Source organism: Homo sapiens, chromosome 19 (genome assembly GCF_000001405.40).
Source record: "Homo sapiens chromosome 19, GRCh38.p14 Primary Assembly".
NCBI classification, from domain to species: Eukaryota; Metazoa; Chordata; class Mammalia; order Primates; family Hominidae; genus Homo; species Homo sapiens.
This window is the reverse complement of record NC_000019.10, coordinates 6,308,450-6,331,368: the sequence shown is the minus strand read 5'-3', so window position 1 is coordinate 6,331,368 and position 22,919 is coordinate 6,308,450. Positions and strand designations below refer to the sequence as shown.

General features: G+C 49.1%; 1 protein-coding gene across 2 annotated transcripts in view; it reads left to right on the top strand.

Annotated features, from left to right (window-relative positions):
• ACER1 (alkaline ceramidase 1) overlaps positions 1-22,919 on the top strand; it is a 54,227-nt gene that overhangs the window by 29,000 nt on the left and 2,308 nt on the right. For both annotated transcript variants that reach the window (XM_011527673.3, NM_133492.3), the window contains 3 exons: positions 18,870-18,984; positions 19,079-19,220; positions 21,535-21,672. In XM_011527673.3, coding sequence (XP_011525975.1) covers positions 18,906-18,984; positions 19,079-19,220; positions 21,535-21,672 — 359 coding nt within the window. In that variant the 5' untranslated portion in view covers positions 18,870-18,905. The remainder of the gene's footprint in view (positions 1-18,869; positions 18,985-19,078; positions 19,221-21,534; positions 21,673-22,919) is intronic.

Genomic DNA, 22,919 nt, shown 5'->3' with positions numbered 1-22,919 from the left:
GACCATCCTGGCCAACGTGGTGAAATGCCGTCTGTGCTAAAAATACAAAAAATTAGCCAGGCATGGTGCCGGGCGCCTGTAGTCCCAGCTACTCAGGAGGCTAAGGCAGGAGAATCACTTGAACCCGGGAGGCAGAGGTTGCAGTGAGCCAAGATTGTGTCACTGCACTCCAGCCTGGTGACAGAGCGAGACCTCATCTCAAAAAAAAAAAAAAAGTGCTTGCTGTGTACCAGGCATGACCCTAAACATTTTACGTGAAACACCTCCTTTAATCTGCACAGTGACATGGGGAGTTAGATGCAATCTATATGATACAGACTTCATCCCATTTTCCAGGTGATAAAACAGGTGTTCAAGGAGTTTGAAGGCTGTGCCCAGGGTCACCCTGGTTATTAGAGCCAGGATTTAAACTTGGTGAGTCCAGGAGACTTTTCTGGGAGGAGAGTCCGAGGCTCAGGTTGCTCTGACCCTGTTGCCTTTCACCCCGGGGCTTCCCATACCTGGGAAGTGGGATTATGAGACTCCAGGATCCTCACGGTCTCACTGATTCTTGCTCTTCCTTAGCCAGAGATATGGTTCCCGGTCCTCAGTAGTCCCACCTCTAACATGGGAGGGAGCTGAATGATTGGTCCTACGAGGCTGAGATGATGGGTAAGGGCTCTAGAGCTCTTCTCTCTGGAATCCCCAGCAGCCACTGTGGTCCAGTGTTCTGTTTTCATCCTGCACCCAGATGAGAGCCCTTGCAGAAGGCACTGAGAGGCTGGGTATGGTGGCTCTCACCTTTAATCCTAGTACTTTGGAAGGTCGAGACAGGAGGATCACTTGAGGCCAGAAGTTCAAGACCAGCCTAAGCAACATAGCAAGACCCAGTCCCTACACAAAATTTAAAAACTAGCTGTGGGCTGGGCACCACTGGCTTATGCCTGTAATCCCAGCACTTTGGGAGGCCGAGGCAGGTAGATCATTTGAGGTCAGGAATTTGAGACCAGCCTGGACAACATGGTGAAACCCCATCTCTACTAAAAATACAAAAATTAGCTGGGCATGGTGGCGCATGCCTATAATCCCTGCTACTGGGGAGGCTGAGGCACGACAATCACTTGAATCTGGGAGGTGGAGGTTGCAGTGAGCCGAGATCACGCCATTGCACTCCAGCCTGGGTGACAGAGCAAGACTCCATCTCAAAAGATTAAAAATTAGCCGGGCGTGGTGGCTCACGCCTGTAATCCCAGCACTTTGGGAGGCCGAGGCGGGCAGATCACGAGGTCAAGAAATCGAGACCATCCTGGCTAACACGGTGAAACCCCGTCTCTGCTAAAAATACAAAAAAATTAGCTGGGCGTGGTGGCGGGCGCCTGTGGTCCCAGCTACTCGGGAGGCTGAGGCAGGAGAATTATGTGAACCCGGTAGGTGGAACTTGCAGTGAGCTGAGATCACGCCACTGCACTCCAACCTGGGTGACAGAGCAAGACTCCATCTCAAAAAAAAAAAAATTAAAAATTAAAAAATTAAAAATAAAATAAAAATAAAAACTAGCTGGTAGGCTAAGGCAGGAGGATTGCTTGAGTTCAGGAGTTTGAAGCTGCAGTAACCTGTTACTGCACCACCGTATTCCGGCCTGGGCAACAGAGTAATATCCTGTCTCTAAAAAATAAAAAGCACCTAGAAAGGGCTGATTCAAGTGTGTCCTGAGCCTGAGTATAGCTGTGTGTTCTTATCTCAGGCAAAATTGTCCTCCACTGGATTCTGCTGTAGCCTGTCCCCAGATAAAATAAATTGAGCCACCTGTAGCTACCGGGTAAGGCTGCAGTTGTCAAACTCCTCTGATCAGAACACCTATTATGAAAGAAATTTTACATCATCATCATCCTGTACCTGCCTTTCCAGATGTGTATCATACAGAAACAAAAGTTGCACAAAACGAGACTTACCCTTCCCTGGTACAAACACACCTGGATCTATTCTATTCTATTCTATTCTATTCTATTCTATTCTATTCTATTCTATTCTATATCAAAAAGCCTCTCTCCAAACAGGTCAGGGGATGAGGAATAGAATCAGAGTTATGTGAGAAAGGGCTTCCCCAAGACCTTCTCCTCCAAAACGCTTCTGAGTATCCCAAACCCATAGCTAATAAATCATACAGTTCAAAAGGGTGGAGTGGGTGGCAAATTTTTTCTTTTCGTGTTTATTTTATTTTATTTTTATTTTACCTGTTTTAGAGACACAGTCTCACTCTATTGCCCAGCCTGGGATGGAGTGGTGCCATCATAGCTCACTGCAGCCTTGACCTCCTGGACTTAAGTGATCCTCCTGCCCCAGCCTTCAAAGTAGCTGGAACCACAAGAGCATGCCACCAAACACAGCTAATTTTTAAATTTTTATACAGATGGGTGCTGGGCACAGTGGCTCACACATGTAATCCCAGCACTTTGGAAGGCCGAGGTGGGCCAATCACTTGCGCTCAGGAGTTCAAGACCAGCCTGGAAAACACGATGAAACCCCATCTCTATCAAAATTACAAAAAAAAAAAAATTAGCCAGGCATGGTGGCATGCATCCGTAGTTCCAGCTACTTGGAAGACTGAGGCAGGAGAATTGCTTGAACCTGGGAGGTGGAGGTTGCAGTGAGTGGAGATGGTGCCACTGCACTCCAGCCTGTGCGAAAGAGTGAGACTCTGTCTAAAAAAACATTGTTTTGTATAGAGATGGGGTCTTGCTATGCTGCCAGGCTGGGCTCAAGTAATCCTTGTGCCTTCACTTCCCAAAGTGATAGGATTACAGACATAAGCCACTGCACCCAGGGCCAACCTTTTCTGTACAGGGCTAGCTAGTAAATATTTTTGACTTTTTTTTTTTTTTTTTTTTTTTTTGAGATGGAGTCTCAGTCTGTTGCCCAGGCTGGAGTGCACTGGTACAATCTCGATCTTGGCTCACTGCAACCTCCACCTCCCTGGTTCAAGCAATTTTCCTGTCTCAGCCTCCCAAGTAGCTGGGACTACAGGCACCTGCCACCACTCCCGGCTAATTTTTGTATTTTTAGTAGAGATGGGGTTTCACCTTGTTGCTCAGGCTGGTCTTGAACTCCTGACCTCAGGTGATCCACCCTCCTTGGCCTCCCAAAGTACTGGGATTACAGCCATGAGCCACCACGCCTGGCCAATATTTTTGGCTTTCTGGGCCATCCAGACTCTGTCTCAACTACGCAACTATGCCACTGTAGCTGAAAACCAGCCATAGATAATAGATAAATAAATGGGTGTGGCTGTATGCCAATAATTTTTTTTTTTTTTTGAGATGGAGTCTCACTCTGTCGCCCAGGCTGGAGTGCAGTGGTGCAATCTTGGCTCACCACAACCTCTGCCTCCCAGGTTCAAGCAATTCTCCTGTCTCAACCTCCCGAGTAGCTGGGATTATAGATGAGCACCACCATGCCCAGCTATTTTTTGTTATTTTTAGTAGAGATGGGGTTTCACCATGTTGGCCAGGCTGGTCTCGAACCCCTGACCTCGTGATCCACCCACCTCGGCCTCCCAAAGTGCTGGGATTACAGGCACAAGCCACCGTGCCTGGCCAATTTTTTTTTTATTGACACTGAAATGTGCATTTCATATAATTTTCACATGTCACAAAATAATCTTTTAATTTTTCAATCATTTGAAAATGTAAACATGATTCTTAGCTTGTGGGACACATGATACAAGGCAGTGGGCTGAACTTTGCCCACAGGCCAAAGAGTGTTTATTTATTTTATTTTATTTTATTTTATTTTTATTTTATTATTATTTATTTATTTATTTATTTTGAGACGGAGTCTCGCTCTGCCGCCCAGGCTGGAGTGCAGTGGCCTGATCTCGGCTCACTGCAAGCTCCGCCTCCCGGGTTCACACCATTCTCCTGCCTCAGCCTCCCGAGTAGCTGGGACTACAGACGCCCGTCACCACCCCTGGCTAATTTTTTGTATTTTTAGTAGAGACGGGGTTTCACCGTGTTAGCCAGGATGGTCTCGATCTCCTGACTTTGTGATCCGCCTGCCTCAGCCTCCCAAAGTGCTGGGATTATAGGTGTGCACCACCATCCCCAGCTAATTTTTGTATTTTTTGCAGAGACAGGGTTTCACCAGGTCATCCAGGTTGCTCTCAAACTCCTGACCTCAGGCGATCTGCCTGCCTCAATCTCTAAAAGTGCTGGCATTATAGGCATGAGCCACTGCACCCAGCCTGCTTTCTTGCTGCTCTGTTTGGGAGCATGCAGAGCCCAGCAGCTCATGGTCAGGGTTACAGAAACAGGAAACACCCAAGAACTCACCCCAGGTGTTTGGAGACTTCATAGAAAAGGACATGTAGGAGTTGGGTTTTGAAAGATGAATAGGAGTTTGCCAAGTGGGGAAGGATAGCAGGAGAGCAGGGAAAGATGTGCTCAGTTCTGGAAGTCAAAGAAGAGCTGGTCAGATTGAGAAAGGAGAAAGTATGTTCCTGTAGCTACAATGTGGGGAGAGATGAAGACGTAACGGTTCGCATGCTTGGTTAGAATGTTGGAAACGTATCCTGTGTTCACTGATGGACTCATTCATTTATTCAATCAAAATGCTATAAACCCACCGCTGCTGGATGATCCTGGGATTCCAGGGAGGAGGCTCGGTGTCCCCAGGTTGTAAGAGACCCAGAATTAGAAACAGATTTCTTCAGCCCCATGGTTAGCTTGAGGCGGAGAGAGGAAGGGGGTGCCAGAAACGGGGTGTCAGAGGAATGGGGCATAAGGTCTCTGCTTGCTGAATGGGGAAAGAACATCAACAATGCTCTGGGGGGCAAGTGTGGTGGCTTACACCTGTAACCCCAGCACTTTAGGAGGCCGAGGCAGGAGGATCACTTGAGCTCAGGAGTTTCAGACCAGCCTGGGCAATATAGCAAGACCCCATCACTACAAAAGATTAAAAAAAAAATAGGCCGGGCGCAGTGGCTCACGCCTGTAATCCCAACACCTTGGGAGGCCGAGGCCGGCGGATCACAAGGTCAGGAGATCGAGACCATCCTGGCTAACACGGTGAAACCCCGTCTCTACTAAAAATATAAAAATTAGCCGGGCATTGTGGTGGGCGCCTGTGGTCCCAGCTACTCGGGAGGCTGAGGCAGGAGAGTGGCGGGTGAACCCAGGAGGCGGAGCTTGCAGTGAGCCGAGATGGTGCCACTGCACTCCAGCCTGGGCTACAGAGCGAGACTCCGTCTTTAAAAAAAAAAAAAAAAAAAAAATAGCTGAGCATGGTGGTGCACACTTGTGGTCCCAGCTACTCCGGAGGCTGAGGCAGAAGAATCGCTTGAGCCCAGGAGTTCAAGGCTGCAGTGAGCTATGATCACACCACTTCACTCCAGCCTGAGGGACAAAACCAGACCCTGCCTCAAAATAAAACAAAAACAAAAACAACAATGAAAAACAAACAATACCATGGAAACCAAATCTAAAAAGAATGAGTAGATGTCCTCTAAGGCTTTGAATTTTGTTTGTTTGTTTTAGTGACAGGGTCTTGCTCTGTTGCCCTGCCTGGAGTACAGCGGTGTGATCATAGCTCACTGCAGCCTTGAACTCCTGGGCTCCAGCAGTCCTCCCGTCTCAGCCCCCAGAGTAGCTGGGATTACAGGCATGAGCCACCACGCCCAGCTCAAGGGTTTGGAGGCAAAGGGAATAGCATATGTAAAGGTCTTTGTTGTTGTTCTTGTTTTGAGGCGGAGTCTGGCTTTGTCACCCAGGCTGTAGTGCAGTGGCACGATCTTGGCTCACTGCAACCTCTGCCTCCCAGGTTCAAGTGATTCTCCTGCCTCAGCCTCCCAAGTAGCTGGGATTATAGCACCTGCCACCATGGCTGGCTAATTTTTTGTATTTTTAATAGAGACAGGGTTTCACTTTGTTGGTCAGCCTGGTCTTGAACTCCTGACCTCAAGTGATCCACCCACCTCAGCCTCCCAAAGTGCTGGGATAACAGGCGTGAGCCACTGCACCCGGCCAAGGTCTTGAGGTGGAACAGCACAGCCTGGCAGGAAATAGTGAGCAGCTTGAAGCGGAGCCCAGGGGGAGTCTCCCCAGTCGATGGGGGAGAGACTGAAGGGTGAGAGAAAGGACTGGAAAGGTTTTCAGGGGCCAAATTGGGAATGTCAGGCTGAGGACTGTGTGCTCTGTCCTGAGAGCCCTGGGGAGCCATGGGGTGGCTTTTGAACAGAGGAGAGTCATGATGTGGGGTCAGCTGGGGCAACCGGTGGCATTTGGCAGATGGGCAGAGAGAGCCAGGAAGGGTCATCCAACAGGAACAGAAGTCAGCAGTGTGGGAGGGGCGGCTCGAGTAGGGAAGGGGAAGAGGTCCAGGTGTGGGCTCCGTCAGTTTGCTCCTGCTTGCATTGGCCTGGTGGCCTCCAGGTGCAGCCTTCTTCTGGGTTGATGACAACTTAGGAGAGTTTCCTTCCTTCCTCCTTCCTTCCTTCCTTCCTTCCTTCCTTCCTTCCTTCCTTCCTTCCTTCCTTTCTCTCTCTCTCTTTCCTTCCTTCCTTCCTTCCTTTCCTTCTCTCCTTCTTTCTCTTTCTTTCTTCTCTCTTCTCTCTCTTTCTCTTTCTTTCTTTATTTTATTTTGTTTTGAGATGGAGTTTCGCTCTTGTTGCCCAGACTAAAGTGCAACAGTGCAATCTCTGCCTCCCGGGTTCAAGAAATTCTCCTGCCTCAGCCTCCCAAGTAGCTGGAATTACAGGCACGTGCCACCACGCCCGGTTAATTTTGTATTTTTTTTTTTTTAGTAGAGATGGGGTTTCTCCATGTTGGTCAGGTTGGTCTTGAACTCCCGACCTCAGGTGATCTGCCCGCCTCGGCCTCCCAAAGTGCTGGGATTACAGGCATGAGCCACCTCGCCTGGCAGAGAGTTTCAAATGGTGCAGGTGGAAGTTTCAAGGTCCCCCAGGTCCTGGAGGCAGTGAGTTATGATCACTTCACTGCACTCCAGCCTGGGCAACAGAGTGAGACCCTGTGTCTAAAAAAAAATTAAAAAGAGGCCAAGTGCGGTGGCTCATGCCTGTAATCCCAGCACTGTGGGAGGCCAAGGCAGGGAGATCACTTGAGGTCAGCAGTTCCAGACCAGCCTGGCCAACATGGTGAAACCCCATCTCTACAAAAAATACAAAAATAGCCAGGCGTGGTGGCTCACACCTATAATCCCAGCTACTTAGGAGGGTGAGGCAGGAGAATCGCTTGAAGCTGGGAGGTGGAGATTGCAGTGAGCTGAGATCACACCACTGCACTCCAGCCTGGGTGACACAGCGAGACTTGGTCTCAAAAAATAAAAATAAAAAGAGAGAAATGAGGAGATCAGAGTCGGAAGGGGGTGGAGGGGAGATAGTCTGCAGTGCTGCCATCTCCAACACTCTCCTCACCTCCTCTCCTGAGTCTCCTTGAGGCTGGCTTCTGCAGTGGGATTCCAGTCCCAGCTCTCCCCTGAATGCTGTGTGACCCAGGAGGAGACCTGCCCCTCTCTGAGCTACACACAATGGCAGGTCTCATAAGCTCTAAATTACAAGTATGGATGTGAGATCCACTCATGCCTCCCTCTTCTGCTGTCCTTCTTATCAATATCCACAGCAAAAACAATTAATTACTGGACGCCTCTGGTGTGCCAGGCCCTACCAAAAGCAAGATGGGAGGGCAGGAAAATACTTCTCTGTATTAGTTCATTTTCACTCTGCTAATAAAGACTTACCTTTATGTCTGGGCAGTTTGCAAAAGAAGAAAAAGAGACTAGGCAATTTACAAAAGAAAGAAGTTTAATGGACTTACAGTTCCACGTGGCTGGGGAGGCCTCACAATCATGGTGGAAGGCAAGGAGGAGCAAGTCACATCTTACGTGGATGGCAGCAGGCAAAGAGAAAGAGCTTGTGCAGGGAAACTCCCATTTTTTTTTCTTTTTTTCTTTTTTTTTTTTGAGACGGAGTCTCGCTGTCACCCAGGCTGGAGTGCAGTGGCGTGATCTCTGCTCACTGCAGGCTCTGCCCCCTAGGGTTCACACCATTCTCCTGCCTCAGCCTCCCAAGTAGCTGGGACTACAGGCACCCGCCACCTCGCCCAGCTAATTTTTTGTATTTTTAGTAGAGATGGGGTTTCACTGTGTTAGCCATGATGGTCTCTATCTCCTGACTTCGTGATCTGCCTGCCTTGGCCTCCCAAAGTGCTGGGATTACAGGTGTGAACCACTGCGCCCTGCCTGTTTTGTTTTTTGTTTGTTTGTTTTGAGACAGAGTTTCACTCTTGTTGCCCAGGCTGGAGTGCAATGGCGTGATCTCCGTTCACCGAAACCTCTGCCTCCCTGGTTCAAGCTATTCTCCTCCCTCAGCCTCCTGAGTAGCTGGGCTTACAGGTGTGCACCACCACACCTGGCTAATTTTTTGTATTTTCAGTAGAGATGGGGTTTCTCCATGTTGGTCAGGCTGTTCTTGAACTCCCGACCTCAGGTGATCCACCCACCTTGTTCTCCCAAAGTGCTGGGATTACAGGCATTAGCCACCACGCCCGGCTGAAACTCCTGTTTTTAAAACCATGAGATCTCATGAGACTCATTCGCTATTAGGAGAACAGAGCAGGACAGACCCACCCCGATAATTCAATCACACGGGAATTGTGGGAGTTACAATTTAAGATGACATTTGGGTGGGGACACAGCCAAATCATATCATTCTCCAAAGAAGAATCTTTTGCTTTCTTGTTGCTCTGTTTGCAAGGAGCTGAGTCTGGGGTTGAGGTTGCAGAGCCCAGACACTCATGGTTGTGGCTACAGGAGAAGAAAACACCCGAGGAGTCAGCCCAGGTGTTGGGAGGCTTCATGGAAAAGGGCACCCAGGGTTGGGTTTTGAAAGATGAATAGGAGTTTGCCAAGTGGGGTAGGAGTTTGGGGAAAGACAGCAGAAGAGAAGAAGAAGATGTGCTCGAGTCCTGGAAGTCAAATAGGAGCTGCTACATATTTCTGCTACATATTTTGTCTTTCATTTACATCTTTAGATCAAAAGCATCCTTTTAAATAGCTGCATAATATTTCACTAGAATGTATTCAGCCCCACGCACCTGGGTGACAGTGTTACAGTTTCTATTTTATTTATTCATTTTTTATTGCAATTACAAATGACTTAGGGATGAATTTGTATATAAATCTTGTTGACCCAGGGAAGGCAGATGCCGTAAGTTGGATAATTACATGCATGAAACCAGTGATCTAGCCCATGATACTCCCAGGCAAGATAGGTTCCTCTGGACCTCCTTTCTCCTTTGAAGAAAACAGGTGTTGGTGACCCTTCCCTGCAAGCATCCTGGGGCTGATGGAGGGGTTTGAGTTGTTGGGACAACAATTTCTTCTTTATTCAACAAGAATTGCAGGAGCACCAGGCTCTGCTCCAGGCTCTGAGGACACAGCAGTGATCCAAGCACCAAAACTCCCTGCCGGCCGGGTGCAGTGGCTCATACCTGTCATCCCAGTACTTTGGGAGGCCGTGGTGGGCAGATGACCTGAGGTCAGGAGTTCGAGACCAGCCTGGCCAACATGGTGAAACCCCGTCTCTACTAAAAATAATTTTAAAAATTAACCAGATGTGGTGGCACGTGTCTGTAGTCCCAGCTACTTGGGAGGCTGAGGCAGAAGAATCGCTTGAACCCAGAAGGCGGAGGTTGCAGTGAGCTGAGATTGCGCACTGAACCCCAGCCTGGGCAACAGAGTGAGACTCTGTCTCAAACAAAACAAAACAAAACAAACAAAGAAAAAAATACAAGAAACTCCTTGCCCTGGTGGGGCTGATGTTCTGGGGATGGAGAAGAAGAAAATAAGCCAAAGTCAAGGCTACAAGATGCCAGGCGGTGGGATGTGCCAAGGAAGAAAAACTCATGCATTCACTCTCTTTTTTTAAAGAATGTATTTCGGCCAGATGGGGTGGCTCACACCTGTAATCCCAGCACTTTGGGAGGCTGAGACAGGTGGATCAGTTGAGGCCAGGAGTTCAAGACTAGTCTTGCCAAGATGGCAAAGCCCCATCTCTACTAAAAATACAAATAAATAAATAGACAAGCATGGTGATGGGCTCCTGTAATCCCAGCTACTCAGGTGGCTGAGGCAGGAGAATCGCTTGAACCCAAGAGGCGGAGGTTGCAGTGAGCCAAGATCATGCCACTGCACTCCAGCCTGGGCGACAGAGTGAGACTTGGTCTCAAAAAAAAAAAAAGAAAGAAAATTTTCTGGAATTAGCTAGTGTGATGGTTGCATGCCTTATGAATATACTGAAACCCACTGAATTGCATAGTTTAAAAGAGTGAATTTTATAGTATGTGATTTATGTCTTGATTTTAAAAATAGGGATGTTAAAAAAAAAAAAACAACCCACAGCTCTTGGCACATCCTAAGCACTGAATACATTGTAGCTATTCTTATTACGAGTGAATACAGCACCCAGAGATGTCAAAGTGACATTCATTAATTTTATTAGGTATTTATTCATTTCATTGAATAATTAGCACCAACTGTAATCCTCATAAAATCCTATGAAGTAGGTACAATTATGCTCCCCATTTTACAGATGGGGAAATCAAGGCTCAGAGAGGGTATATTTCTTTCCTAGGGCCACACAGTATGCAAATTACAATTGCACAAAAGTTGCAGCTTCTTAAAGAGCCTGGTCCTAGAATCTCTCCCTTAACCATGGTGCTGTGAGACCACTTAATTACTGGTGATTAGGAATTAATTGTGTGCATTTTGGATGGCACAGCGGCTCACACCTGTAATCCCAGCACTTTGGGAGGCTGAGGCAGGCGGATAACCTGAGGTCAGGAGTTTCAGACCAGCATGGCCAATATAGCGAAACCCCGTCTCTACTAAAAATACAAAAATTAGCCAGGTGTGGTGGCACACACCTGTAGTCCCAGCTACTCAGGAGGCTGAGGCAGGAGAATTGCTTGAACCTGGGAGGCAGAGGTTGCAGTGAGCCGAGATCGCGCCGCTACACTCCAGCCTGGGTGACAGAGTGAGATATACGCATTTTAATTCATGCAATTAAGTCTTGTGCTGTGGCCGGTGCACACTTCGTCCCTCCAACATTAGCAGGCACACTTGGAATGAATGCAGGTGGCTGTCCTCAACTGGAGACAGAGGCCAGGTGTTGCTGGTGGGAGGGAGTTTGAGCTTTGGCAATGAGGACGAAGAATGAGGAGATGTTGGAGATGTATTCAACAAACTTTTCTTTCTTTCCTTTTTTTTTTTTTTTTTTGAGACAGAATCTCTCTCTGTCACAGGGGTTGGAGTGCAATGGTGCGATCTCAGCTCACTGCAGCCTCCACGTTCAAGCGATTCTCCTGTTTCAGCCTCCTGAGTAGCTGGCACTACAGGCATCCACCACCACACCGGCTAATTTTGTATTTTTAGTAAAGACAGGGTTTCTCCATGTCGGCCAGGCTGGTCTTGAACTCCTGACCTCAAGTGATCTGCCCACCTCAGCCTTCCAAAGTGCTGGGATTACAGACATGAGCCACTGCGCCTGGCCCCTTCTGTATTATTTATGTGTATTCTTTTCTACTAAAATGTATTAGGCGCCTACTGTGTGCCAGAGAGTGTTCTAGATACAGGGTGGGGAGGGGGCAAAACACACAGAGCTCCCTGGTCCCGTGGCACTTAACTCTGTAATCCTCACAGCAGCCTCTGGAAGTAGGAGCAGGAAAACCAGGCACAGGAGGTCCCCTGCTGTCCTGACTGTATACACCCCGAGAAGGCAGGGACTTTGTTTTCAGACACTGGTATGGTCCTTGAGCACATAGTAGGTACTCAAGGGATGCTTGGACAAATGAATGAATGAATGAATGAACGAATGAATGAAGGAAGGGAGGGAGGTGATGTCACCTGCTGGAGCTGGGACCAAGAAGGTCCAGCTCACTTGTGTCCAGAGTTCAGGACTGGGCTGGCTTTGGATGGGATCCCAGACAGGTGTCTCCCCCGCCTGGCAGAGCCTGGGTGGGATGAGAAGCAGGGAACGTGGGGGCTGAGCCCCGGAAGGCAGGGAGGGAGACCCTGGCATCCAGGCAGTTTCCGATGTTATCGGAAACTCCATTAGTCGGGGTCCCCCATTAGTCAGTATCTCCACCCACAGTCTCTGTCCTCCTTCTGAGCGCTTAGGGACACTGTTGATAACTCCTGGCTGGACTCTGCTGGCCCCTAAGCTTGGAATAACGATACCCATAACAGGCCTGTTATTATTATTATCTCCTTCAACAATAACAACAGCAGCAGCCCCAGCTATTTTTTGAGCTCATACCACATCCTGGGCAATGCACTTCTGCAATGCCTCATCTTGTGCATGGCCCGCATCAGCCTGCAAGGTACCATTGATGATGTGTCCTGCTTTTACTGATACAAGCGAAGAGAAACCAAGAGGCATTAGTCACAGGGCCAGGCAGCAGGGGAGCACCCTCTTAATCACCACCACCCGTCTAGTCTTTCCATCTTTGTTTTCTTTTTTTTTTCTTTTTCTTTTTGAGTTGGAGAGAGATGAGTTAGGAATAATTTTATTTTTATTTATTTATTTATTTTTTTTGAAACGGAGTCTTGCTCTGTTGCGCAGGCTGGAGTGCAGTGGCACGATCTCAGCTCACTGCAACCTCCGCCTCCCGGGTTCACGCCATTCTTCTGCCTCAGCCTCCCAAGTAGCTGGGACTACAGGCGCCTGCCACCACACCCAGCTATTTTTTTTTTTTTTTTGTATTTTTAGTAGAGACGGTGTTTCACTGTGTTAGCCAGGATGGTCTCGATCTCGTGACCTCATGATCCGCCTGCCTGAGCTTTCCAAAGTGCTGGAATTACAGGCATGAGCCACTGTGCCTGGCCTATTTTTTATTTTTTATTTATTTTGGGGGGACAGAGTCTCACTATGTCACCCAGGCTGGAATGCAATCGTGTGATCTCAGCTCACTGCAACCTCTGCCTCCCAGGTTCAAGCGATTCTCCTACCTCAGCCTCCTGAGTAGCTGGGATTACAGGCATGCGCCACCGCACCTGGCTAATTTTGTATTTTTAGTAGAGATGGGGTTTCTCCATGTTGGCCAGGCTGGTCTCGAACTCCCGACTTCAGGTGATCGGCCCACCTCGGCCTCCCAAAGTGCTGGGATTACAGGCGTGAGCTGTAATCCATGCCCGGCTAATTTTTTGTACTTTTTTTTTGTTTTTTTTAGGACGGGGTTTCACCGTGTTAGCCAGGATGGTCTCGATCTCCTGACCTCATGATCTGCCCGCCTCACCCTCACAAAGTGCTGGGATTACAGGTGTGAGCCACCGCGCCCAGCCTGAACATGTTTTAAATGGAGATTTTTAGAGGCTGAGGTGAGTGGATCTGCTTTGTTCAGGAGTTCGAGACCAGCCTGGGCAATATGATGAAACCCTGCCTCTACTAAAAATACAAAAATTAGACATACATGGTGGTGAGTGCCTGTAATCCCTGCTACTCGGGAGGCTGAGGCAGGAGAATTGCTTGAACCCGGGCGGTGGAGGTTGCAGTGAGCCAAGATTGCCCCACTGGATTCCAGCCTGGGTGATAGAGCAAGACTCTGTCTCAAAAAGAAAAAAAACACAAAAACAAAACTAACAAACAAAAAACAAAACAACAACAAAAAAAGTTGGAGAGAGATGAGTTATGGAAGGAATTTATACGCCAAGTTTAAGAGTTTAGACTTTATTTATTGAAGGCCCAGACACGTTTTAATGGATGCTTTTGAATCTGGGAGACTGGTTGGGTCAGTATCTTCAGGCACGCGTTGATATTCAAGGGCTGGTGTTTGGTTGGAGGCAGAGGGAACATTGTGTTTGTTTGGGAGTATGTGTGCATCAGCACAAATGGAGGCAACTGAACTAGGGCCACGGGCTGAGAAGAGGCGCATGGAGGCGTTGGCATGGCCCCTGTCCCATCTGTCCTTGGACCACTGAAGAGAAGCGCTTGCAGTCCAGAACTGTAGTCGTAATCTGTTTACTGACATTGTCCATTTCATATCAATCACTTGTTTTTCTTTCCACACCTGTCTTAGTTCAGTTTGTGTTGCTATAAAGGAATAACTGGGGCTGGGTGCAGTGGCTCACGCCTGTAATCCCAGCACTTTGGGAGGCCAAGGTGGGTAGATCACTTGAGGTCAGGAGTTTGAAAACAGCCTGGCCAACATGGTGAAACCCCGTCTCTACTAAAAATACAAAAGTTAGCCGGGTATGGTGGCACGCGCCTGTAGTCCCAGCTACTTGGGAGGCTGAGGCAGGAGAATCGCTTGAACCCAGGATGCGGAGGTTGCAGTGAACCGAGATTGCACCACTGCACTCCAGCCTGGGTGACAGAGTGAGACTCCATCTCAGAAAAAAAAAAAAAAAAAAAAAGATGGGGAGGGAAAGAGACTTGTTTCTGAGCTCATGTGACAGTTTCATGTTTTTCTTTTGTTTGTATAAATTGAAGAAGTACAAGTGCAGTTTTGTTACATGTATGTATTGTGTGGTGGTGAAGTCTGACCTCTTTTTTTTTTTTTTTTGAGAGGGAGTCTCGCTCTGTCGCCCAGACTGGTGTGCAGTGGTGCGATCTCGGCTCATTGCAACCTCTGCCTCCTGGATTCAAGCGATTGTCCTGTCTCAGCCTCTGGAGTAGCTGGGATTATAGGCATGCACCACCATGCTCGGCTAATTTTTTGTATCTTTAGTAGAGGCAAGGTTTCACCATGTTGGCCAGGCTGGTCTCGAACTCTTGGTCTCATGATCCACTCACCTCCACCTCCCAAAGTGCTGGGATTACAGGTGCAAGCCACCGCGCCCGGCCCGATATTTGATTTTCTGTTTCTGAGTTGTTTCACTTAAGATCATGTCCTCCGGTTCCATCCATGTTGCCGCAAAGGCATTTCATTCTTTGTGTGTGTGTGTGAGACAGGGTTTCACTCTGTCACCCAGGTTGGAGTGAAGTGGCACAATCACAGCTCCTGCAGCCTCCAACTCCTGTGCTCAAGCAATCTTTCCTCCTCAGCCTCTCAAGTAGTTAAGACTACAGGCACATGCCAGTATGTTTGGCTAATTTTCTAAATTTATTTTTTATGGAGGTGGGGTCTCACTATGTTGCCCAGGCTGGTTGCGAACTCTTGTCCTCAGGCAATTCTCCTGCCTCAGCCTCCCAAATTGCTGGAATCACAGGCATGAACCATCACACCTGGCCTATTTCATTCTTTTTTCTTTTTTTGAGACGGAGTCTCGTTCTCTCACCCAGGCTGGAGTGCAGTGCAACAATCTCAGCTCACTGCAACCTCTGTCTCCCAGATTCAAGTGATTCTCCTGCCTCAGCCTCCCGAGTAGCTGGACTCACAGGCACACACCACCATGCCTGGCTAATTCTTGTATTTTTTGTAGAGATGGGGTTTCACCATGTTGGCCAGGCTGGTCTCGAATTCCTGACTTCGTGATTTGCCTGTCTCAACCTCCCCAAGTGCTGAGATTACAGGTGTGAGTCACCACACCTGGGCTCATTCTTTTTTTAATGGCTAAATAGTATTCCAGGCCAGGTGTGGTGGCTCATGCCTGTAATCCCAGCAGTTTGGGAGGCCAAGGCGGGTGGATTGCTTGAGTCCTGGAGTTAGAGACCAGCCTGGGCCACATGGCCAAATCCCATCTGTACAAAAAATACAAAAATTAGGCTGGCCGTGGTGGCTCAAGCCTGTAATCCCAGCACTTTGGGAAGCCGAGGAGGGTGGATCACAGGATCAGGAGATCGAGACCATCCTGACTAACACGGTGAAACTCCGCCTCTACTAAAAATACAAAAAATTAGCCAGGTGTGGCGGCGTGCACCTGTAGTCCCAGCTGCTGGGGAGGCTGAGTCAGGAGAATGGCATGAACCCGGGAGGCGGAGCTTGCAGTGAGCCGAGATCGCGCCACTGTACTCCAGCCTGGGCGACGGAGTGAGACTCTGTCTCAAAAAACAAAACAAAACAAAACAAAAATTAGCTGGACATGGTGGTGCATGCTTGTAGTCCCAGCTACTTGGAGGGCTGAGGTGGGAGGATTACTTGAACCTGGGATGTCGAAGCTGCAGTGACCCATGATCGTGTCACTGCATTCCAGCCTCGGCAACAGAGAGAGACCCTGTCTCAATAAATAAATAAATAAATAAATAAATATAAATAAATAAGGCCGGGTGCAGTGGCTCACACCTGTAATCCCAGCACTTTGGGAGGCCGAGGCGGGCGGATCATGGGGTCAGGAGATTGAGACCACGGTGAAACCCCGTCTCTACTAAAACTACAAAAAAATAATTAGCTGGGCGTGGTGGCAGGCACCTGCAGTCCCAGCTACTCAGGAGGCTGAGGCAGGAGAATGGTGTGAACCCAGGAGGCGGAGCTTGCAGTGAGCTGAGATCGCGCCACTGCACTCCAGCCTGGGCGACAGAGCAATACTCCATCTCAAAAATAAATAAATAAATAAATAAATAAATAAATAAAATTCCATTGTGTATATATACCACATCTTCTTTATCCAATCATTGGGTTGATTTCATATCTTCACCTGTGTGAACAGTGCTGCAATAAACATATGAACGCAGGTATATTTTAGTATAATGATTTCGTTTCCTTTGGGTAGATACTCAGTAGCGGGATTGCTGGATCAAATGGTAGTCCTAATTTTAGTTCTTTGAAAATTCTGCATACTGTTTTCCGTAGAGGTTGTACCCATTTACATTTCCACCCATATTATATAAGTATTTGTCATATGAGAGACTTGTCGCGGCTCAGACATATCAGGGAGACACTTTGTGGGGAGTCAAAGTCTGATGTCAGCACGTCGGGGTCTTGAGTCATTTAATTTTGGGTGCAAATGTTCTTGTGACCTTTTTTTTTTTTTTTTGAGGTGAAGTCTTAGTCTGTTGCCCAGGCTGGAGTGCGATGGCGTGATCTCGGCTCACTACCACCTCTGCCTCCTGAGTTTAAGCAATTCTCCCACCTCAGCCTCCCAAGTAGCTGGGATTACAGGCACCCACCACTACACCCAGCTATTTTTTTGTATTTTAGTAGAGATGGGATTTCACCATGTTGCCCTGGCTGGTTTCAAACTCCTGACCTCAAGTGATCTGCCTGCCTCAGCCTCCCAAAGTGCTAGGATTACAGGTGTGATCCACTGCACCTGGCCAATTTTTGTATTGTTTTACATTATTGTGAAATATATATTCACATATTATATATATATATATATTCACAATATATATTTACATACTGTTTTGTAGAGTTTCACTATGTTTTTTGGGCTGGCCTTGAACGCCTGACCTCAGGTGATCTACCTGCCTCAGCCTCCCAAAGTGCTGGGATTACAGGCGTGAGCCACCATGCCCGGCCATCACCTGAAGTTTCATTCACTCATGTGTCTGATGACTGTATAGGGAAGAATTGAACCACTGGCCCTCCTCTGGCATCTCTCTCCATCTCAGTGTGGTCTCTACACATGGTTTCTCCAGCGTGGTGGCTTCAAGGGTAGCCAGTCTTCTTGTGTGGTGGCCTAGGATCTGGACGTCTTGTCCTATGAGATAGAGAAAGGTGGAAGCCACAGTTCCTTTTATGACCTAACCTCAGAAGTCACACAGTATCATTTCTGCTTCATGCTGTTTGTCAAAAAGGTACTGCATCGTCTTTCCTTGTCTGCAAGGGCAAGGTCAACTCATGACATCCATGGCCACATTTCAGCCCACAGGAAGAGGAAAGGGGGCAAGCTTTCCTTACGTGGTTTTTGAAAGGACTGACCTGGAAGTAGTAGATGTCATTTACATTCTTATCTCATTGGCCAGAGCAGGTCAAAAGGCCACAAGGCCACAGTGAACTGCAGCGAAGGCTGGGAAATGTAGTCTTTCACTGGGTAAGCTGTGTGCCCAGTTCAAACTTGGGAGATACTATTTTTACAGGAAAAGGGGCTGGGTGCAGTGGTTCATACCTGTAATTTCAACACTTTAGGCTATGGTGGGAGGATCACTTGAGGCTGGGAGCTTGCAACCAGCCTGGGTGACATAGTGAGACCCCTTCTCTACAAAAAATAAAAGAAAATTAGCCAGGTGGGGTGGCGGGCACCTGTAGTCCCAGCTACTCGGGAGGCTGAGGCAGGAGGATCCTCTGAGCTCAGCTGATTGAGGCTGCAATGAGCCATGATCCCACCACTGCACTCCAGCCTGGCAGCAGACAGCAAGATCCTGACTGTAAAATAAATAAATAGAAAAAGTAAAAGAGAAGGAGAATATATATGGAAGTTTAGTGGATAGTCTTTGCCACACTCACTGAATGAATGAATGAACCAATAACGGATCGAGAAATTGATCTATGGATGACCAGCTGATGGTCAAGATCAGCTGAAAAGTGGCTAGGTGCGGTGGCTCACACCTGTAATCCCACCACTTTGGGGAGGCCAAGATGGGCGGATCACCTGAGGTCAGGAGTTCAAGAGCAGCCTGGCCAACATGGTGAAACCCTGTCTCTACCAAAAATATAAAAAATTAGCTGGGCGTGGTGGCACGTGCCTTTAATCCCAGCTACTCGGGAGTCTGAGACAGGAGAATCGCTCGAACCTGGGAGGTGGAGGTTGCAGTGAGCTGAGATGGCACCACTGCGCTCCAGCCTGAGTGACAGAGCAAGACTCCAAGACTCCATCTAAAAAAAAAAAAAAAAAAAGGGTCGGCTGAAAGGTTGACAGGTGAGTGATTGACAAATCCTGGGTTGATGCATTGCCTGAAATGCAGCAGGTAACCGACTGGCTGGTGACTGAGTGTCTGGACAGAGGGCAGCCTCCTCCGTCTCCCCTATCTGACGAGCTCCTCCCTATGGCTCTCTCTGCTCCAGTTCTCCAATATCCCCTTCTTCATCTTCGGGCCACTGATGATGCTCCTGATGCACCCGTATGCCCAGAAGCGCTCCCGCTACATTTACGTTGTCTGGGTCCTCTTCATGATCATAGGTAGGGAGGTGTGGTTCAGGTCTGTGACAGTCGGGAGGCAGTGGGGGTTTAGGAGGTGGCGGACCCCACTGACCGCCTGCCCTTGCCGCTGCAGGCCTGTTCTCCATGTATTTCCACATGACGCTCAGCTTCCTGGGCCAGCTGCTGGACGAGATCGCCATCCTGTGGCTCCTGGGCAGTGGCTATAGCATATGGATGCCCCGCTGCTATTTCCCCTCCTTCCTTGGGGGGAACAGGTGGGTCAGGGGCTGGCCATCTGGACAGGGTGGGGTCTGAGTCTTCAGTTGACTCTACATGAGCTCACCTGAGTCCCCTGGGTCCCCACCCTTGACCCTCTTTGGGGCCCTTGGAATTCCTCCCCTGACCACTTCGGGTTTTCTCCTGACCCTGCCTGACTCACTTGGGCTTCTGGAGACCCCTCCCCTGAGCTTACCTGGTTTCTTGGAATCCCTCCCTTGATCCTACTTTGATAACCTGGGACTTCCTCCAGAATCTGTTGCAGCCAACAGGAGTTCCAGGACCTCATGTCTACACTTACCTGGGCCTGAGGGACTCCTCCCCGAGCCTCTCACCTGGCGTTCCTGGCATCTTTCATCTGATCTGCTTAGACCCCCTGGGTCCCTCTCTTGATCTAATTGATCCCCACTCCCACCCTTGACCCCTGTGAAATAATCTCCTTCTCCTTCTACTTTTCCACCTCCTCCTCCTTCTCCTCCTCCTTCTCCTCCTCCTTCTCCTTCTTCTTCTTCTTCTCCTCCTCCTCCTTCTCCTTCTCCTTCTTCTTCTCCGCCTCCTCCTTCTTCTTTTTCTTCCTCCTCCTCCTCCTCCTTCTTCTTCCTTTTTGAGACAGAGTCTCGCTCTGTCACCCACACTGGAGTGCAGTGGTGCGATCTCGGCTCACTGCAGCCTCTGCCTTCAGGGTTCAAGTGATCCTCCTGCCTCAGCCTCCCGAGTAGCTGGGATTACAGGCACCTGCCACCACACCCGGCTAATTTTTGTATTTTTAGTAGAGACGGTTTCACCATGTTGGCCAGGCTGGTCTCGATCTCCTGATCTCAAGTGATCCACCTGCCTTGGCCTCCCAAAGTGCTGGGATTACAGGCAAGTGAAATTCTCTTCTAACCCGGCTTAACCCACCTGAGCCCTCCAGGACCCCCCCAGCCCACCCTATTGACCTCTGGGACCCCTGTCATCTTTCCTTTATCCCTACTGGGTCCTGGAGAGCCACTGTCTGACATCTCTTAAATTCACCCGGACCCAGGGATCCCTCTTCTCAGCCCAGCTGGGATCCCCTGAACTCCTTGCCTGACCTCACCTGGGCCCTGGAAACCATCACGCTCTCCCAGGCTCCCTGGGACCCTCTTCTCATCCTACTGAGTCCTCCCTGGGATCCCCCTTTAGACGCTGCCTGGGCTCACCTGGGCTCCCTGAGACTTTCTGCTGAGTCCACTTGGGAGCCTCAGGACCTTCTTCTTCTCCTTCTCCTTCTTCTTTTTTTTTTTTTTTTTAGATGAAGTCTCGCTGTGTCCCCCAGGCTGGAGTGCAGTGGCGCAATCTTAGCTTGCTGCAACCTCCAATTCCCAGGCTCAAGCGATCCCTGCCTCAGCCTCTTTAGTAGCTGAGATTACAGGCACATGCCACCACATCCAGCTAGTTTTTTGTATTTTTGGTAGAGACAGGGTTTTGCCATGTTGCCCAGGCTGGTCTCGAACTCCTGAGCTCAAGCAATCCTCCCACCTCAGCCTCCCAAATTGCTGGGATTACAGTCACGAGCCACCGTGCCGGGCTAGGACCCTTTTTCTTGTTGTCGTTTTTGAGACAGAATCTCCCTCTGTCACCCAGGCTGGAGTGCCGTGGCGTGATCTTGGCCCACTGAAACCTCTGCCTCCTGGTTCAAGCAATTCTCGTGCCTCAGCCTCCTGAGTAGCTGGGATTACAGGCATCTGCTACCACACCTGGCTAAATTTTGTATTTTTAGCAGAAATGGGATTTCACCAGGGCCAGGCGCAGTGACTCATGCCGGTAATCCTAGCACTTTGGGAGGCCGAGGCGGGCGGATCACGAGGTCAGGAGATTGAGACCATCCTGGCTAACATGGTGAAACCCCGTCTCTAGTAAAAATATAAAAAATGAGCCGGGCGTGGTGGCGGGCGCCTGTAGTCCCAGCTACTTGGGAGGCTGAGGCAGGAGAATGGCGTGAACCTGGGAGGTGGAGCTTGCAGCGAGCCCAGATCGCACTGCTGCACTCCAGCCTGGGCGACAGAGCGAGACTCCGTCTCAAAAAAAAAAGAAATGGGGTTTCACCATGTTGACCAGGCTGGTCTCAAACTCCTGACCTCAGGTGATCCGCCCACCTCAGCCTCCCAAGGTGCTGGGATTACAGACATGAGCCACCGTGCCCTGCCTGGCTAGGACCCTTTTCTGAGCCTATCTGGGCTCCCCAGAATCCTGTCCTTTTCTCACCCACCTGGGCCACGGGATCTCCAAGTGACCATGCCTACAATCCCAGGACCTCCCTTCCCGCCTACAGCTGAGCCCCTTCCTCCCCAGGTCCCAGTTCATCCGCCTGGTCTTCATCACCACTGTGGTCAGCACCCTTCTGTCCTTCCTGCGGCCCACGGTCAACGCCTACGCCCTCAACAGCATTGCCCTGCACATTCTCTACATCGTGTGCCAGGAGTACAGGAAGTGAGTGAAGGCTGCAGGTGCCTGGGCAGGAGGCTCCCATCCCCCTCCTAGCACCCCTGACTCCAGGCTCGCGGAGGGGACGTCCCTTCTCCAAGATCACCCACTAACAAGTAGCAGGGCCAGGATTTGAACCTGACTGACTGCAGAGTTTGTCCTTATTATTATTTTTTTTCTTGAGACGGATCCTCGCTCTGTTGCCCAGGCTGGAGTGCAGGGGCGTGATCTTGGCTCACTGCAACCTCCACCTCCCAGGCTCAAGCAATCCTCCCACTCCAGCCTCCCAAGTAGCTGGGACTAGAGGCGTATGCCATCATGCCAGGATAATTTTTGTATTTTTCTTTGTAGAAACAGGGTTTCGTCATGTTGCCCAATCTGGTCTTGAACTCCTGGGCTCAAGCGATCCACCCACCTCAGCCTCCCAAAGTGCTGGGATTACAGGTGTGAGCCACTGCATCCACCCTACATTATCTTTATTTTATTTATTTATTTATTTATTTTTGAGACAGAGTCTCTCTCTGTCTTCCAGGCTGGAGTGCAGTGGTGTAATCTCAGCTCACTGCAAACTCTGCCTCCCGGGTTCAAGGATTCTCCTGCCTCAGCCTCCCGAGCAGCTGGGAGTACAGGTGTATGCCACCATGCTCGGCTAATTTTTGTATTTTTAGTAGAGACGGAGTTTCGTCATGTTGGCCAGGCTGGTCTCAAACTCCTGACCTCAGGTGATCTGCCCACCTCGGCCTCCCAAAGTGTTGAGATTACAGGCGTGAGCCACTGTGCCCAGCAGAGTTTGTCCTTTTTATGATGAAACCCAGAAACAGACATGCAAGCAGAGAAAATAGCCCCACAAACCTCCCCACGCCCACTAACCAGCCACAACAACCACCCACATTTTGTCAATCTGTTACATATTTCTCCCAGATTTCATACAATTTCACCCCTAATTTTTTTTTATAATTTAACTCCCCTGATTACAAAAAATATATTATTCTTGCTGGGCATGATGGCTCATGCCTGTAATCCCAGCACTTTGAGAGCTTGAGGCACACATACCTCTACCCCAAAACATACAAGCACCAAAGGGCTTGTTGGTTAAGAATAAATACTATGCAGTCAGAAAAACTTGGTTTAGATCCCAGCTCTGCCACTTACCAGCTGTGTAACCATGGGGTGGGGTGGGGCATAGTGCAATCCCTGTGCCTCAATTTACTCCTCTACAAAGTCCTTGTGAGGACTGAGTTAATATCTTTTTT